Source organism: Homo sapiens, chromosome 7 (assembly GCF_000001405.40).
Source record: "Homo sapiens chromosome 7, GRCh38.p14 Primary Assembly".
Classification (NCBI taxonomy): domain Eukaryota; kingdom Metazoa; phylum Chordata; class Mammalia; order Primates; family Hominidae; genus Homo; species Homo sapiens.
This window is the reverse complement of record NC_000007.14, coordinates 158,236,432-158,254,567: the sequence shown is the minus strand read 5'-3', so window position 1 is coordinate 158,254,567 and position 18,136 is coordinate 158,236,432. Positions and strand designations below refer to the sequence as shown.

At 51.3% G+C, this 18,136-nt stretch overlaps 1 protein-coding gene across 14 annotated transcripts in view, besides 2 other annotated features; it reads left to right on the top strand.

Moving 5' to 3' along the window:
• Nucleotides 1-18,136, top strand: part of PTPRN2 (protein tyrosine phosphatase receptor type N2) — a 1,048,768-nt gene that overhangs the window by 333,256 nt on the left and 697,376 nt on the right. The gene's annotated exons all lie outside the window — the stretch shown is intronic.
• Nucleotides 8,768-9,268: an enhancer, noted in NCBI's record as "H3K4me1 hESC enhancer chr7:158037992-158038492 (GRCh37/hg19 assembly coordinates)". NCBI's record gives its function as "activates a minimal SCP1, AML or CMV promoter by ChIP-STARR-seq in naive H9 embryonic stem cells {active_cell/tissue: H9 hESC(naive)}" and the evidence as "EXISTENCE:reporter gene assay evidence [ECO:0000049][PMID:30033119]".
• Nucleotides 15,864-16,777: an enhancer, noted in NCBI's record as "H3K27ac-H3K4me1 hESC enhancer chr7:158030483-158031396 (GRCh37/hg19 assembly coordinates)". NCBI's record gives its function as "activates a minimal SCP1, AML or CMV promoter by ChIP-STARR-seq in naive H9 embryonic stem cells {active_cell/tissue: H9 hESC(naive)}" and the evidence as "EXISTENCE:reporter gene assay evidence [ECO:0000049][PMID:30033119]".

Sequence of the window (18,136 nt, the reverse complement as noted above, 5' to 3'; positions counted from 1 at the left end):
TGGGCAGTGGCTCTGTGCCACTGTCCAGTTACAGGGATGCTCCTGAACGTGGAGATGGAGGGCGGGTCGTGCCGTGGGCAGTGGCTCTGTGCCACTGTCCAGTTACAGGGATGCTCCTGAACGTGGAGATGGGGGGCGGGTCGTGCCGTGGGCAGTGGCTCTGTGCCACTGTCCAGTTACAGGGATGCTCCTGAACGTGGAGATGGAGGGCGGGTCGTGCCGTGGGCAGTGGCTCTGTGCCACTGTCCAGTTACAGGGATGCTCCTGAACGTGGAGATGGAGGGCGGGTCGTGCCGTGGGCAGTGGCTCTGTGCCGCTGTCCAGTTACAGGGATGCTCCTGAACGTGGAGATGGGGGGCGGGTTGTGCTGTGGGCGGCAGTGGCTCTGTGCCACTGTCCAGTTACAGGGATGCTCCTGAACGTGGAGATGGAGGGCGGGTCATGCCGTGGGCAGTGGCTCTGTGCTGCTGTCCAGTTACAGGGATGCTCCTGAACGTGGAGATGGAGGGCGGGTCGTGCCGTGGGCAGTGGCTCTGTGCTGCTGTCCAGTTACAGGGATGCTCCTGAACGTGGAGATGGAGGGCGGGTCGTGCCGTGGGCAGTGGCTCTGTGCTGCTGTCCAGTTACAGGGATGCTCCTGAACGTAGAGATGGAGGGCGGGTCGTGCCGTGGGCAGTGGCTCTGTGCCGCCGTGCAGTTACAGGGATGCTTCCTCTGCTCGATAAATATGGATGCCAGCGGCTCGAGAATCTGTTGCCCAGCTCGACTTCTGCGAGCCTGCTCTTAAAAAGAGTTATTCCGCTCTTCTAATGAATCATTTTCTCAATTTCCTTCCTCACCATTAGAGTATTTTTAAAGCACTGGACACCTTGTTATTCAAGGAAGTCCCCAGTCTTGCCTCGCCTGTGTGCCGCATTCTGCAGATTCTCATGGAAGACTCAAGGCCAACCTGACCACCGCCGAGGGGAGGGGACAGATTCCTGTGGGGCGCGGTCCTGGCCTGGGTTTCGGGAGTCTGGCGTGTGCTCTGGAGACCCGGGGCTGCCCCTGCCCTAGATGGTTTTGCAGTGGGTTCCTTGTGGAAGCAACAGGCGCGGCAATCACCCGGTGACTGGAAACGGAAGGTTCTGTTGAGTGCTTCCTCCTTTCTACGAAATGCAGCATAAAACACTTCTGTGAAAGGAGCACGTTGTTAAAAGAAACACGCGAAAGTGTATTTAATGGGCAGAGCCCCGCCCGCTGTGCTGGCCCCGGTCAGTCCTCGAGTCCTCAGGCCCCCGCCCGCTGTGCTGGCCCCGGTCAGTCCTCCAGTCCTCAGGCAGCTTCAGTTATGCACATCCAGGCTCAGTCGCCTGGAAAATGAGACTGGCCCAGGTAGATCTGGTGGATCTGCCAGTTTATTAGAAGAAAAGGCTCATGTATTTATTTAAGTCCTCCCAGCATTAGTGCTTGACACATATTTAAAGCACTTGGCTAAAAAACAGATTGGAACTGTGGTTGGGTTTGGTCTGGACAACGAGGTCTGGTCCGGGGAAACCACACCCTCCGCATGCCAGCCTCAGTTCTGAGTGCCGTGGGCATGACAGGAGGAACCTCGGGCCACAGGGACTCTCACTCCGCCAGCCCAAGGGTGAGGGAAGATTAAGGTCTCCTTTGAGAAACCAGGCTCTGCTTTGTGATATGGGGTCGTTTTCCGGCATGTTAATCTCCCCATCAATCGGGGGTGGTGGGGGTGGCTCATGTTGGGGAGGATTGGATTTGGGGAGTGAGAGGTTCGTTCTCTGGCTTTGCATGTGATGCGGCTGATTGTCGGGATGTGCTGTGTGATTTTGCTGCTTGGACTCGATCTAACTGGGCTGTCAGCCTCCTCCTTGGGCTTCAGCACTGGGGTGCCTGTCACGCGTCTGTGCAGCTGGCGTGGTGGCTTCCCTGAAAGCCAGGTGCCTGGAGATGGGGTGGTGGGGCCTTCCTACCCTGTCCTGTCCTGCCATCCTTTGGAGAAACGTGTCTCTTGTTTGTCTTTGGTAACTGGTGCAGGGCTGGGGCTGGGGGGTAGTGAGGGATAGGGCTCCGGGCTATCAGGTCCGCCTGGAGTGCTCACCAACCCACACACTAATTCAGGAGCAGTATGCTTGGGTCTGCCTGCCTAGAAAGGCTCCATTCCCGCTGCCCAGTTGGCCGCCTTCATCTGAGCCATCCGAACGGTGACACCACTCACCACCCTGGGCACGGGGATGATTCCATTTTTCCTCCAAGTAATTGGCACTGAGAGATTATGGGAGTGGTGTGGCAGGAGCTTCTGCGACTGCTCTGATTCTCGCCGCAGAGGTGATGGGGACGAGGCAGAGTTGTCAGGCCACTGGTGCTCAAGTGCTCTCGCGTTCCCACCCACTCCAAGCAGCTGAGGCTTGAGGCTGTGCGGCAACCAGAGCAGAGTTGCCATGGCAACTGGAGAGGCAGGCTGCTTAGGCGAAGGATGGATGGAGGGACCAACTTTGTGTTTCTGGTAAAATGGGCGTGTCCCACAGACGATGAGGAGGCCAGAGCCAAGAAGGGGCTTTGCTGGGACCTGCCCTGAGCCTGGGGCAGGTATGTGGTGGCTCTCGTTTCCCTGACCTCCCCTTAGGGAGCCCTGCTTGTGTGTCCCCAACAATGGAATGGAGGCTTCAAGTCACAGGTCCAGTTTTACAGCGTTTCAGGATTTGCACACTTACTGTGCTGAGCATACTCTGGGCTTTATTAAGGTGTGTGTCTGTGCTCTATACGCATGTGAGGTAATGAGGGGGACACACACATGCATACGTGCACCATATACATCCATTGCACACCTGTGCACACCACACGTGCACCATAGACATCCATTGCACACCTGCACACACCACACGTGCACCATAGACATCCATTGCACACCTGTGCACACCACATGTGCACCATAGACATCCATTGCACACCTGCACACGCCCCACATGCACCATAGACATCCATTGCACACCTGCACACACCCCACAGGCACCATAGACATCCATTGCACACCCCCCACATGCACCATATACATCCATTGCACACCTGCACACACCACACGTGCACCATATACATCCATTGCACACCTGCACACACCCCACATGCACCATATACATCCATTGCACACCTGCACACGCCCCACATGCACTGTATACATCCATTGCACACCTGCACACGCCCCACATGCACACATACCGCATGCACATGTATCATATCCGTGCAGTAAGGAGGACATCTGATCTCTGCTGGGAGAAAGGCGAGGTTCTCCTCGGCTCACCAATGAGGGTTCCAAAGCACCCCAGGGACCTCAGCAGGCAGGACGGGAGCCCAGTTCTTTGACCCTGAGCACTTGTTCCCATTCTCCTGAAGATGAGCACATTATTACCGTCATGCTGTGTGGTTCTTGAGAGCCTGCTAAGTAACAGTACGCTTTGTGCGTGTCCCATTACCCTTTCTATGCATTAGGATTTCATGCCAGCCTAGATAGGGAATTGTCTCCTAGAGTCTACTTTATGTGATTTCCACCGAGATTTCCAGGGGGCTTTAACTTCCGTACTTGTTACAATCAAGTAAAAATGTGCTCATCTCACTGTGCGTAATTTCACCTTTTTTCTTTTGGAAAATTTCCCCACAAACACTTTAAGAATAAGCGAATTGTTAATTTTTTCTCTACCAGATAGCAAAGCATCTGGAATTGTCTTTTGTGGCAACATGGTTAGGAGGACACATTTATGACTGGTTGAAAATGATATGAAATAGTGATAGCACAGTGCTGCTAAGAGTCAGCTGATGTTGATTTGAAGGAATCAGGACTACGGCGCAACATTCAAACATGTTTTGCATCACGTCAAAAAACAGACGAGAGAGAAACCACAACAATTCGGGGGTTTGAGATTTTGCAAAGAAAATATACCTGTCTTATAAAAATCGTTGTTTTCTATCACTTCTGTTTCTGTGTGGATGTGGGGGGGATGTGTGTGTACGTGTGTGTGTGCATATGTATGGAATGTGTGTGTACATGGGTGTGTACATGTATGCAGAAAAGCAAAACCTGAGTCTGGGTTAAGAGCAGATGGAGAGGGGATGAGGATGGGGAGGCCGGTTCCCTTTTGCTGTTCTGTGCAATTTCTGCCTTGTTTTGATACCATTTCAATTTTCTTAAATAGGCATGCATTATGCTATAAATGTATAACAATAAATAACCTATATGCATTAGAAAGAATCTGAAAATTATGCAACAGTAGGAATGAGAGAATATCCACATTCATACATCCTAAAAATGAGGGCTTAAGTGTCCTACTTTATCTGAGCTCAGGTTAGAGGCAGGGACCACCCCATAGATCCGATTGTGGGTCCTGTTGTTCGGCTTTCCTTGATAGTATAAGTATTTTCTTTATTATAATATTTCCATAAATATGTGAAGCATTTAGAGCTGATGTACCATACTTCAACAATTCATCTGTTGCTTTTTACTTTGGTAAGAGTAGACCATAAATGCATCTGAGTGTCAAGTGTAGGAAACTCGTGTGTGTGTTGTGCATCCACTGAGTGTCCAGTGTGGGAAACTCGTGTGTGTGTCGTGCATCCAACACGTGTTCTCTCACTTGCATTACACTCAGATGCATTTATGACACAATGACACTGCACGGGTCGTTGTGCACACACACTGGGGGAGGGACGTGGCGTCTTGCTGGAGCACAGGAGAAGCAGTTTAAATGGGAATGCATTCAGTGCATGTCTGTCAAAGTTATGAGTGAATGATGCTTGGCAATGATGTCACAGAGGGCATCTGACCGCTGAGATAAAGCCCTCTGCAGTCCCCAGGGGATGGGGCTTTTCTGGTCCTAAAGCCTCACTGACCATAGGAAACCCCTCTTCCACATTTTATTGGCTGCATAGACGTCACAACTGGGAGACTCATCAGCCAATCCAACTCACAGGTATGGTGCATGTGTGTGATGCGTGTGCATGCAGGGTGTGTGTGTGCAGGTGTGGTAGATATGTGTATGTATGCATGTATGGTGTGCATGTGTGTGATGCATGTGCATGCAGGGTGTGTGTGTGCAGGTGTGGTAGATATGTGTATGTATGCATGTATGTATGGTGTGCATGTGTGTGATGCGTGTGCATGCAGGGTGTGTGCGTGCAGGTGTGGTAGATATGTGTATGTATGCATGTATGTATGGTGTGCATGTGTGTGATGTGTGTGCATGCAGGGTGTGTGCATGCAGGTGTGGTAGATATGCATATGTATGCATGTGTGTATGGTGTGCATGTGTGTGATGCGTGTGCATGCAGGATGTGTGGTAGATACGTGTATGTATGCATTTATGTATGGTGTGCATGTGTGTGATGTGTGTTCGTGTGTGTGCTGTGTGCACGTGTGTGGTGATATGAATATGTGATTCACGTGTGGTGTGTGTGGCATGTTCATGTGTGTGTGTGATGTGTGCATATGTGTGGTGTGTGTGGTGTATGTGTGTGATGTGGGTGCACGTGTGTGGCATGTGTGCACGTGTGTTTATGTATGCACATATGTGCTGCATGTGTGATGTGTGCATATGTGTGGTGTGCACGTGTATGTGCATGTATGTGATGTGGGTGCATGTGTGTGGCATGTGTGCACTGTGTGGTGTATATATGCACATATGTGCTGCGTGTGATGCGTGCATATGTGTGGTGTGTGCATGTGTATGTGCATGTATGTGACGTGGGTGCATGCGTGTGGCATGTGTGCACGTGTGTCATCTATATGCACATATGTGATGTGTGCGATGTGCACATATGTGTGATGTGTGTGCGTGTGTAGGGGCATGCATGTGATGTGGGTGCATGTGTGTGGCGTGTGTGCACGTGTGTGGTGTATATATGCACATATGTGCTGTGTGGGTGTGATGTGTGCATATGTGTGGTGTGTGTGCGTGTGTATGTGCATGTATGTGATGTGGGTCCGTGTGTGGCATGTGTGCACTGTGTGGTGTATATATGCACATATGTGATATGTGTGCATGGGGTGTGTGTGGGAGTGTTTTGTTTTGTTCAGTCCTACACAGTATTTTGAAAATTTTGAATTTATTGCAAACATTTTAAGATTTGAATTCAAGTAAATGAGAAACAAGCTTCCTGGCCTCAGTTCCTTCAGGGAAACACTGGCTGCCCCTTGGGAGGGCTGTGTCCCCACGTGGTCGGGGTACCCCACTCCTTCCTGGCTGCATCTTGGGGTACGCAGGTGCTTGCTGCATAGCTGGCAGCTCAGCGGCTTCTTACAGGAGAGCTGGGAGAAAAGCAAAGGCTTTTCTCCTCTGACATTTGCCTCCAGCCCGATGGTTTGAGTGTCAAGACGGAAGGGGTGGGGCCGCTCCTGGAAGGACAGCATGACCCGCCTGGCCTTAGTGGGCTCTGAGCAAAGCCCCAGCTTTAGGATTTCATCTTAGAAGCTTGTTAAAGCATCACTCATTCTCTCCCATTTTCAAGGAGTCTCTAATTCTTTACCCTCAGAAACGATGTGCTGTGATTTTATGAGACAAGCCTTTGGGATCTCCCTAATAATGGGGGGATAAAGGCCTCCCCCTCCCGCTCCTCTCTCCAGGCTGGGGTCTTGTGCGAGGTATGGTTAAGAACACAGATGGTAGGCTGGGCGCGGTGGATCATGCCTGTAATCCCAGCACTTTGGGAGGCCAAGGTGGGTGGATCACCTGAGGTGAGGAGTTCGAGACCAGCCTGGCCAACATGGGGAAAACCCATCTCTACTAAAATTACAAAGTTACCCAGGCATGGTGGTGCATGCCTGTAATCCCACCTACTCAGGAGGCTGAGGCAGGAGAATCGCTTGAACCCGGGAGGCGGAGATTGCAGTGAGCCAAGATCGCACCATAGCACTCCAGCCTGGGCCACAAGAATGAAACTCCATCTTAAAAACAAACAAACAAAAAAACCGCAGACACCCAAGTCCCCTTTGCTGTGTTTGCTGTGTGGCTGGAGAGGGAGCAAGTTACCTGTGTGGAGTGTTTAGGACGGTGTCTGAGTGGCCCAGTGCCCAGCTGCCCACGAGCCGTGGACATGGGCGTGGTGGGGAAGCAGGGGCGCCGTGAAGAAGAGCACACCTGGGACGGGCACCCCTGGCCACTCCTTCCCTTTGCGCCCCTGTATCCTTTGCTTAGACACGCAGACACGGTCAAGAGCGCCCTCCTCCCCACTTCCCCACCTCCCATCACGGCCTTCTCCTGTGAGACCCCACGTGGGTTGGAAATCTCCTTCCAGATCCTGGCGCCTGCCCCCTTCCTCCACCCCTCTTGGCCAGGGGGCGTCTCAGAGCCCAGCGTGCGCCTCGGTGCTCCTGGCCATGCTGGGGGGTGCCACCCACGGGCCACGCTCTGTGTAGTGAGATGCAGGGGCTATGTGCAGATATGGGGATGGGCAGCCGGGAAGCCCACACCTCCTCATTCCTTGAGGCAGCCCGTGCCAGGGATGGTTTCTCAGGCTGCCTAACCCCATCGTGCGTCCTCACACATGTCTCCCAGCCCAGGCCTGGCATGGCTGCACGCTTGCTCTGGGAAGCTCCATGCGCTCTATGAGAAGTGCGTGGAGATGGCTTCTGATGGCCTCATCACAGAAACTCAACAGGCCGCGCATTCCTGGTGTAGCCCCTCTCAGTCCTGTTTGACCAGCTCTGAAGCTGTCTTGTGACTTTTCCCATCGTGGGTCACGTGCACCATCAGTGGATTCCGGCATGACCACGGATTCCGGCATGGCCATGGGAAGCACACGCCTGGGGGACGTCACCCCTGGATTCACTGTCGTCGTTGCTGTCATCAGAGCCCTCCCACACATTGGTCGGCCTTGCCTGTCAGCTCTGTAAGGTTGAATTAGCAATAAAACCATATGCTTTTGGTTGCAGTCACTTTCTGCATAAGTCTTTAAAAAGGTCAAAAAGGAAGAAAACGCAACTTCTTTAAAATACAGATTGTCCTACTTTGAAAAATCCCGTGGACAAGGACAATGACCACCCACGGTGACTTGTGAAACGCTCACATTTTCTTATCGTCAGCAGCCCCAGCATCCTCCTTCTCCCGTGTGGGACTTCCTGTCCTGTGGACCACACGGAGTTAGAGCTGGGGGCAGTGAGAGCCGTCTTCTTCCTTCTTGGTAGAGAGACGCGTCTCGACTCCAAATCTTTAAGCCTCTGTTTCTCTCTCCATCTCTCACCTCCCAGGATGTCTTTGGTCACCAGGAGACCCACCCATTACGCTGCCATTTCCATAACATGGATTTTTCCCCCTCTTCCTTCAAGTGATGAGTTTTTTCAAGTGATAATTTTATTCATGTGGGGTATTTATATTTTGCCGTATGTGCCGAGAAGCTTACGAGAAAGGTGTATTTTAAATAAATCAAATTATCAATCAATCAATCAATCAATTAGTGAATGCAGCCTGGCCCAGAATATTCATTTTTAATGAATTTTGGTTTCACACAATCCTGGGTCATCCCTGGAGGGTAACATCATGCGGTGTTTATTGTCGCAGGTGGGGAGGGCACCCTGACGGTCTCGCTGCTGCCAACCAGGCCCTGATTTGTGTCTCAGTGACTGAAAGTTAGTAGGGTAAGAGCAGCTTTCCAGTGTGCCTGCGAGCCAGACTGATGTCCAGCTCCATGCCTGTGAGTCAGCAGCCCCATGCCTGTGAGTCAGCATAGGGATAACCATGGCACCGGGGTTGGCGGATAGCATGGTGGCCACGCACAAGCGACCTACTGTGTGCCGGCCCTGAGCCGGCTGCTTCCACATCCCCACTCACCTGTTCACACAGCCACGTCATGAGACGCTGTGCCTGACTCCTGGGGAAACTGCCAGAGGGGCCTAGAAGGCAGCTCCCATCCATGCGAATTTGGATGTGCAGAGTTGCCTTTGTATCAACCCAAACAAACCCAGTCTGGAAAACTCCCTCCACCTAGTAATGGATCAGGGTGCAGGTCCCACTCTCGGCAAGGAGACCTGACTCTACGTCAAGAGGTCGGCTCGGATGAAAGGCCCCTGGTTTGACTCAGGCCAGGGCGGCCCATGCGCTCTATGAGAAGTGCGTGGAGATGGCTTCTGATGGCCTCATCACTGAAACTCAACAGGCCGCGCATTCCTGGTGCAGCCCCTCTCAGTCCCGTTTGACCAGCTCTGAAGCTGTCTTGTGACTTTTCCCATCGTGGGTCACGTGCACCATCAGTGGATTCCGGCATGACCACGGATTCTGGCATGACCACGGATTCTGGCATGGCCATGGGTTCCGGCATGACCGTGGATTCCAGCATGACCACGGATTCCGGCATGGCCATGGGTTCCGGCATGACCGTGGATTCCAGCATGACCACGGATTCCGGCATGGCCATGGATTCCGGCATGGCCACGGATTCTGGCATGACCACGGATTCCGGCATGACCATGGATGTCAGCCTCTGTGCTGACCACGCTGCAGATGCAGGGCTGGACGCCTCATCTCATTTCATGCCCACCGCCGCCTCACGAGGCCATCCTCAAGACGACGTCACTTGTCCACATGACACAGCCAGGGAGCAGGGGCTTCGAACTGCTGGCCTCGCTCAGGCCTGTCGCTTCTCCCACGGCCCCCACCCCGGGGCACTGGGGCTCTGTCACACTGGGAGACACTGAGCTCAGAGAAAAAGTTTAATATTTTATATAACACACGCCCCCCATACACTCACATGTGCACAACTCACACTCATACACACTCTCACACACAACTCACACTCACACAACTCACACACACCCACACATACTCTGACGCTAACCACACAACTCACACACACACACACTTTCACTCTAACACAACTCACAACCACACACACTCACAACTTACACAGCTTACAGAACTCACACAACTGACACACAAAACAATCACAAGTCAGCTCACACAAAACACATACATAGCTTGTACACACAACTCAGACAAAACTCACGCTCACACACTCATTTTCACACAAAACACACACAAAAAACATGCTCATTCACACACACCCTCACACACAGCTCACACAAAAACTCATAAACACTCATAGCTTATGCACAGCTCACACACAAAACACGCTCATTCACACTCACGCAAAACACACAGCTCACTGTCTACAGACACTCTGTGTATCTGTTCCTTTTTCATGAATACCTGAAAGGTGTGTTTTTGAGGCTTGTTCAGCCTTTTTCTTCAGGACACTGCCTTGACCTTTCACCTTTTAATTTGCGTTTCCAACTTCTGTGCTACTACCCCCTCTGAAGCATTAATGGGAAGGTCAGTTTCCTGCACTTCTGAGTGAAGAAGCAGGAGCTAGCTGGAAGGACTTCAGAGCCTGGCCTTTCCCTTCTGGCTGAGCAGGAACCACCATGGAAGTCCTGGGGGAAGGAGGCAGCTTGTTCTCTTCCCAGGGACTGGGTGCTGCATTGGTGGTCAGTGGGGAAAATGGGCCACATTGTGAGGAAGGAGGGAGGACAGGAAGTGATGTCAGTGACTCGGGGTGGGAGGGATCAGCACTAAGTAGAGACTGTTGCTTAGGAGGTATTAGATACGAAGTAGGGACTGTGACTTAGGAAGTACTTAGTATTTAGCAGTACTTAGAACTAAGCAAAGACTGCTACTTAGGAGGTAGTTTGTAATTATCATTAATAGTACTTTGTACTAAACAGACTGCTATTTAGGAGGTACTTAGTGCTTAGCAGTAGTTAGTACTAAGTAGACACTGATACTTAGGAGATATATAGTAGTGACTAGTGCTTAGTACTTAGCAGAGACTATGACTCAGGAGGTACCTAGTACTAAGCAGAGACTACAACTTAGGAGGTACTTAGTACTTAGCACTAAGTAGAGACTACTGCCAAGGAGCAGAGCCTGCTCTCTGTGTGGATGGATCTGGTTTGTAGGATGTTGCTTCTTCCAAATCAACCTTTGTGGGCTTCCTGCAGCTCCTGGCCAACTCTGAAGGTGGTATCTGTGGTGGAGTTTGGCTGGGACAGCGTTCTGGGGTCCACAGAACCATCTGGAAAACACGAGTAACCATCTCTCCACTGAGCATTTCTTCTCATGAAACCAGACAGATCTTTTTTTCCTCTCACTACAGTGACCAGACTTTTAAACCACAATGTCCAGGCTGTTGTGCTCACATGGGAATCATTTTTACTAGGGTTGGGCAAGAGAAACAAGGTGAGAAGTGCCAGTGTGAAGCAGTGAAATGGTCTGCTCCTCTTGCATTGATTAATTTTGGGAGAGAAGACTTTCTTTGCCTCTTTTCAGCTCTGAGTCTGGTATATGGAAATGAAAGCTTTCCTGCTTTCCTGCTGTGTCTGCTCTGATCACAGGTTGAGGCTGAAGTGAAGGCGTCTGTGCTTTCTAGCTGGAATCTTCTCACTCCAGCTTCCTGGGTTAGCTTATTTTGTTTTCTAATCAACCTAACATTACACCCCAAGGCACTAGGAAATGAAGAACAAACTAAGCCCAAAGTTAGTGGAAGGAAGGAAATAACAATGATTAGAGAAGAAACAAGTCAAATAGCCTAGAAAAACAATAGGAAAGATCATCAAAATTGGGAGTTGTTTTGTTGAAAAGACACAAAATGGACAGATCTTCAGCTAGACTGAGAAATGAGAGAAGACTCAAATAAATAGAATCAGAAATGAAAGAAGAGGCGTTACAATGGATACCACAGAAACACCAAGGGTCATGAGACCACTGTGGACATTTATACGCCAAGACATTGGACAATCTGGAAGAAATGGAGCCCTTCCTAGACACATACAACCTACCAAGACTGAATCATGAAGAAACAGAAAAACAGACTGTAACGAGTAAGGAGATTGAATCAGTAATAAAATGTCTCAGCCAAAATAATGCCCACGAACGGATGTTTTCATTGCTGAATCCTACCAGACACTTCCAGAAGAACTAATACCCATCTTCTCAAACTCTTCCAAAACACTGAAGAGGAGGAAACACTTCCAAACAGATTTTACGAGGCCATCATTACCCTGATGCCAAAGCCAGACAAACACTCCAGGGAAAGAAGACTACAGGCCAGTATTCCCGACGAACACAGATGTTTTCTGAAAGGAGTTGAACTTTGTGAATTCCCTCCCTCACTCTTGGCCACTGATTGCAATCTTTAGAGGAGATTCTCATCTTTTGAATCTCTCCACTTTGCAGACACGCTTTTGATTTAGAATTCTCTCTAATTGAAAAGAAGCGGAACTAAGAGGTTGGAGAAGTCCATGCCTAGGCAGGTGGAAAGTGGAGCTTGAGATAGAAGACTGGAGATGGAAATGAAAATAAACGATGGGAGAGGAAGGTGCAGAGGACGGGGCGGGGAGGAGGTTGTACTGGAAACTTTAGGTTCAGCTCCTTTCCCTCCAGGGATGAATGGTTACAGGCTGGGCTCTTGGGCTGCTAGGAGCCACTAGCATGGCTCTACCGGGTGGGTGAACCTGCCTTATAGGCCAAGTCAGAGTCAGTTAAGATTTGGACAATAACAGAAGCAAGCAAACAAGGCTCCACAGCAAAAGCAAAGCTAGTTTAGTGAAGATAAGGACCCCTCGGTTTGCGACTGTGCTGTCTAGAAATATGGGCCTGAGGGGGTTTCAGATGGCAGCTTTGGTAGAGCTGTGGTCTCCCTTCTCCAGGACCATATGCACTTTGTGGGAACATTCGAGCCATCTGTATCATTTCCTTGACTTAAAAAAGGTCCCAAGATGTTTTCTTACTCAGTGATCATTTGGGGAGGACCTCAGAGCTGTGATTAGGAGAACGGGGAGCTGTAGAACGTTAGCTGTAAAATCAATCATAAGATTCAGGTAGGATATGAGAAAACAGAACAGAACACTGCCTCCTTTCCTGGTATGCCCAAAACAGGGCGTGAACACTTCAGAAAACAATGTCTTCAGAGCTGAATTTGGGTGTGATGATTCGTACTTTAAAGTCTGTGTCAGGGGAAGTGAAGGATTTTTTTAAAATTTAAATTTAAATTTTATTTATTTATTAATTCTTTTTTTGAGATAGAGTCTTACTCTGTCACCCAGGCTGGAATGCAGTGGTGTGATCTTGGCTCACTGCAACCTTTGCCTCCTGGGTTCAAGCCATTCTCCTGCCTCAACCTCCTGGGTAGCTGGGATTACAGGCACCTGCCATCATGCCCGGCTAATTTTGTATTTTTTGTAGAGATAGGGTTTTGCCATGTTGGCCAGGCTGGTCTTGAACTCCTAACCTCAGGTGATCCTCCCCCTTGGCCTCCCAAAATGCTAGGATTACAGGTGTAAGCCACCACGCCCGGCCGAAAGTGAAGGATTCTAATTAAAGTCCGTCAGCAAATATGTTATGAAAGGAAACTATAGCCGAACTGGAGAAAGGGAAGAGTCACCTGGTAACTGAAGGAATTTCTAAAATGGGTTAACCAAGAACACTTTGATGCTTCCACCATGAAGCTGGAACTGGATGCTGGCTGGCCCAAGACCATGATCCACGTTCACAGGGGGCCCTGGGCCTGAGGGCACCTGCCCACGGGGCTGCCTTGGGGCATCTTTATTCAGAAGTGGGCTCCTGACATGGTTCCTGGGCACCACAGCAGAGGCCTCTGCCTGGAAAGCCAGGCTCAGCTTCTGCTTCCACTTCCTGTCCACAAACAGTTTGATGGCCTTAGACTGAGAATTGTATCTCAATTATTCAATGATGTTTTTCTTCTTTGCTGTTAGCAAAATATGCCTCCCCATTGAATCAATATTAAGATCTAGCAAGGGTAAAGTTCGAAGGAAGCCTTTTGCCATTAGAAAGACCAAACACCTGCCCAGGCACAGTGGCCACACCTGTAATCCCAGCACTTTGGGAGTCCCAGGCAGGTGAATCACCTGAGGTCAGGAGTTCAAGACCAACCTGGCCAACATGGTGAAACCCTGTCTCTACTAAAAATACAAAAATTAGCCGGGTGTGGTGGCACACACCTATAATCCCATCTACTTGGGAGGCCGAGGCAGGAGAATCACTTGACCCCAGGAGGCAGTGGTTGCACTGAGCTGAGATCACGCTACTGCACTCCAGCCTGGGCGACAGAGTGAGAGTCCATCTCGAAAGAAAACAAAAACAAAACAAAAGCCCACACACCTGGTCTTTCTGCTGTGGCAGGCTGTCCTGGTCGTATTCGAGGTCTGGACTAATATTGGGTAGTATTCTTTTCCTTCCCTATCTTCCTCTGCATTTTTATTTAAAAGACTAATGTGCTAGTTTTATGTTCTTTTGGCTTTCTCTCTCTCTCTCTCTTTTTTGGTATATTCCCCATTGTTTTACTGAGACCTGTTAATAGGAGAGAGAAATTAAATTATACTAAGCCAACTTCCTCCACACTTATCAAAAAGATAAAAATGGCCATCCTAAGAAACAAAGACACTGCTTGTTCCATCAAATAATGCACATAAGCCCCAAGTGCCCGTCTGACCTGCCTGGAGGTTCCAGTGGTATTTTTCTCCCTCTCTCTCCTTTAACTAGTAGGAGAGGCGCTGGAGGCCACCTCCCCTCCTTTCCTTTATGCTTGGGATTATAGCTCACTTCGCCAGTTCCCACTCTTAGTCTGTGTATTGCCCGCACCACACCCTCAACGTGTCATCTACGTTCCCTTCATCCACCTGCTCAGATCCGTGATTGTTTATAGCATCCTCCAGTGCCCCGGCCAGGATTAGCAAGGATTTCGTGACCCAATGGGCGTGGAGGAAGCGTGGCTTTCTTTCATTTCACCAGGAAATGACTGACGTCTTGTCTTGGCGTGCATCCAGATGTGGGAAGTGCAGCGTTGCTTGATAACAGAATCTTATTTTGTGCAGCTTCCCAGGCACTGAAGCGGGGCTGCTGGGAGAAGGGCGTGAAGTGGTGTGACATCATTTGATGTGTCCTTGAGCTCCGAGAGGAGAAGCTTTTGATGGTGGCGAGTGCAGTGGCAGGGGCCGCAGGGATGCAGACAAAGCCACGTCCCCATTGGTCCTGCTGCTGTGAGAATGGGGAGGAAAGTGACTGCACACCCTCTGGAACCTTCTGACGGCCAGGGGACTTTGAATAGTTTGCCCCACACGGCAGGAGGGTGGGGGCCGCGCTACGGAGCGTTGGCTTGTGGACTGAAACAAAGCGCCCCAGGAAAGAACAAGCTCCGGGATACCAGCTCCGGGCTCCTTGCTGGCTGCAACTTGAACGTGGTCTGAGAGTCTTGGTTAGAGCTGGAGGTCGCGTCTGCTCCAACAGAGAGAACTGCTGACTCTTCCCTGCACAGAGAGACAGTGCCCCAAGGGGAATAGCTGACGGGTTTTACCCTCCTGAGGTTTCTGCACCATCCTGCTGTTTGGAAAAGGCGCAGAGGAACATCGACCCTCTGGCTGGCCTCAGAGAAGGCCCTCGGTCCTCAGGGCATGGTGGTGGCCCCCACCCCGGGGTGATGGGGGCTGTGGCACCTTGACCGAGCAAACACCAGGCTCGGGTGGCAGCTGCCTGCCTGGCTTTCCGCTCCCCTCCACGGCCCTCACGAGAGCCTCTGAGGCCAGCACCCTCTTCTCCATTCAGGAGTCTGGGGAGCCGCGTGGCTTAGCATAGGCCAGCCTGTCCTGGGGGCGTCCTGGGGGCTGCGTGGCCTTCACACCTCTGCTCTCACCTCTGCCCTTGTAGCCACCGTGTCAGGGTCCCTGGTTTTGTCTCCCTTCATGGGGCCTTGTTGCTCCAGACTTGCAGGGGAGTCCTCCTTGCTGTACCTACCAGGACCTGGTCTGCCCCTCAGGACTGAATCCGTCGGTCCCTGGAATCCTGCTGAGCTGTCATGACCTAGAGCCAGTCCCAGGTCCCAGGAGCCTCTGTCCGTGTGGAGCTGCGACCCGTGCTTCCTGGGCACCCACTTCTTAATAACATGACCTGGGAAGTTCCCGTTTAAGACAAGGAAAGTAAAGCATCCTGGAGCAATGGTTAACAAGACCTGAATCTAAAATAAAATAAGTTCCAACAAACATGATGTTTTGGGTGATACAGAAACCGTGAATGTGGCTGGATTAAGAGGGACAGTGGCTGAGGGCGGAAGAAAGGTTTCTGATGAGCGGCAGAGACCAGAAGCCTTGCTGTGGCTTCCTTCCTTCCTGTGCCCCGCGTCTCGCCTGCTGTGCTTTTGGTGCCACCCACACCCCCCGCTTTATTTTATAGTAACTGGCAGGACCTGCTTGGCCCAGGGCAGGAGGGAGGGGAGGACGGTTTCCTGATCTGCGATGGCCATCAGGTGTGCTGGGCTCCTCTCCAGGCCCAGCTGTAGGGAGGGATGCCCCCCAGAGCTGAGCTTTTCCCCTGTGGACCCTCTGGCCTTTCCTCCCAGCCAAGCCCAGGGCGTCCTTTTCCAATCAGAGCCGGACACGGGCGTGACTTAGCGACTTAGCCGCCCCGAGAGGCAGGACGGGGCGGACGTTCCCAGCAGGAGGCCGCGGCTGCACTGTGGAGATTGTGTGTGTGCCCCAGCCCTGCCGGAACAGCTGGCCTCCAGGGACGTCGGGAGCAGCCAGCACAGGTGTGGCCACAGAAATCACAGACACTTGTGTCCTGTGTGTATCTCCATGGCAGCCGCCGGGCTGCGGGCAACTCCTGCAGGCTCTGTGCTGAGCTCAGCGTGAGGGAAGGGTGTCCTTCGTGCACTCCCATGTAAGCGCTGTGTCTGCCGGGGGGTGTTCAGAAAGAGGGGGAGCAGGAAACGAGAAGCCAGCATCAGTGCAATGGCAGCATGGGTGGCGGCGAAGTGGCAGAGTGTAGGGGTGGGTTGCCCCTACACACCTGTGGGTGTTTCTCGTAAGGTGGGACGAGAGATTTGGAAAAGAAAAAGACACAGAGACAAAGTATAGAGAAAGAAATAAGGGGACCCGGGGAACCAGCGTTCAGCATATGGAGGATCCCGCCAGCCTCTGAGTTCCCTTAGTATTTATTGATCATCTGTGGGTGTTTCTCGAAGAGGGGGATGTGTCAGGGTCACAAGACAATTGTGGGGAGAGGGTCAGCAGACAAACATGTGAACAAAGGTCTTTGCATCATAGACAATGTAAAGGATTAAGTGCTGTGCTTTTAGATATGCATACACATAAACATCTCAGTGCTTTACAAAGCAGTATTGCTGCCCGCAGGTCCCACCTCCAGCCCTAAGGCGGTTTTTCCCTATCTCAGTAGATGGAGCATACAATCGGGTTTTATACCGAGACATTCCATTGCCCAGGGACAGGCAGGAGACAGATGCCTTCCTCTTGTCTCAACTGCAAGAGGCATTCCCTCCTCTTTTACTAATCCTCCTCAGCACAGACCCTTTACGGGTGTCGGGCTGGGGGACGGTCAGGTCTTTCCCTTCCCACGAGGCCATATTTCAGACTATCACATGGGGAGAAACCTTGGACAATACCTGGCTTTCCTAGGCAGAGGTCCCTGCGGCCTTCCGCAGTTTTTGTGTCCCTGGGTACTTGAGATTAGGGAGTGGTGATGACTCTTAAGGAGCATGCTGCCTTCAAGCATCTGTTTAACAAAGCACATCCTGCACCGCCCTTAATCCATTCAACTCTGAGTTGACACAGCACATGTTTCACAGAGCACGGGGTTGGGGGTAAGGTCATAGATTAACAGAATCTCAAGGCAGAAGAATTTTTCTTAGTACATAACAAAATGGAGTCTCCTATGTCTACTTCTTTCTACACAGACACAGTAACAATCTGATCTCTCTTGCTTTTCCCCACAGCAGAGTGGTCGGGCAGGGACAGGTTCTACCTGGTAACAGAGTGGCTGGGTGGGGACGGGTTCCACCAGGTAACTGGGTGACCAGGCGGGGACAGGTTGCACCGGGTAACTGGGTAACTGGGGGGCCAGGCAGGGACAGGTTCCACTGGCCCTGTGGGGAGTCCCACTGAGTGCCATCACGTCTTCACGGCGGCTCCATGAAGACATACTTGAGGCATCTCGAGGCTCACAGCTGGTGCATGTCAGACTGGGATCAGACTGTGTGCCCCCACCCCACAGACGCCAGGGCAGACCCCACCTTCGGGCAGCTTTGCTTGAGGTTCTGAGGGCCCAGGGCCCAGGCAGCCTTACCCACCCCT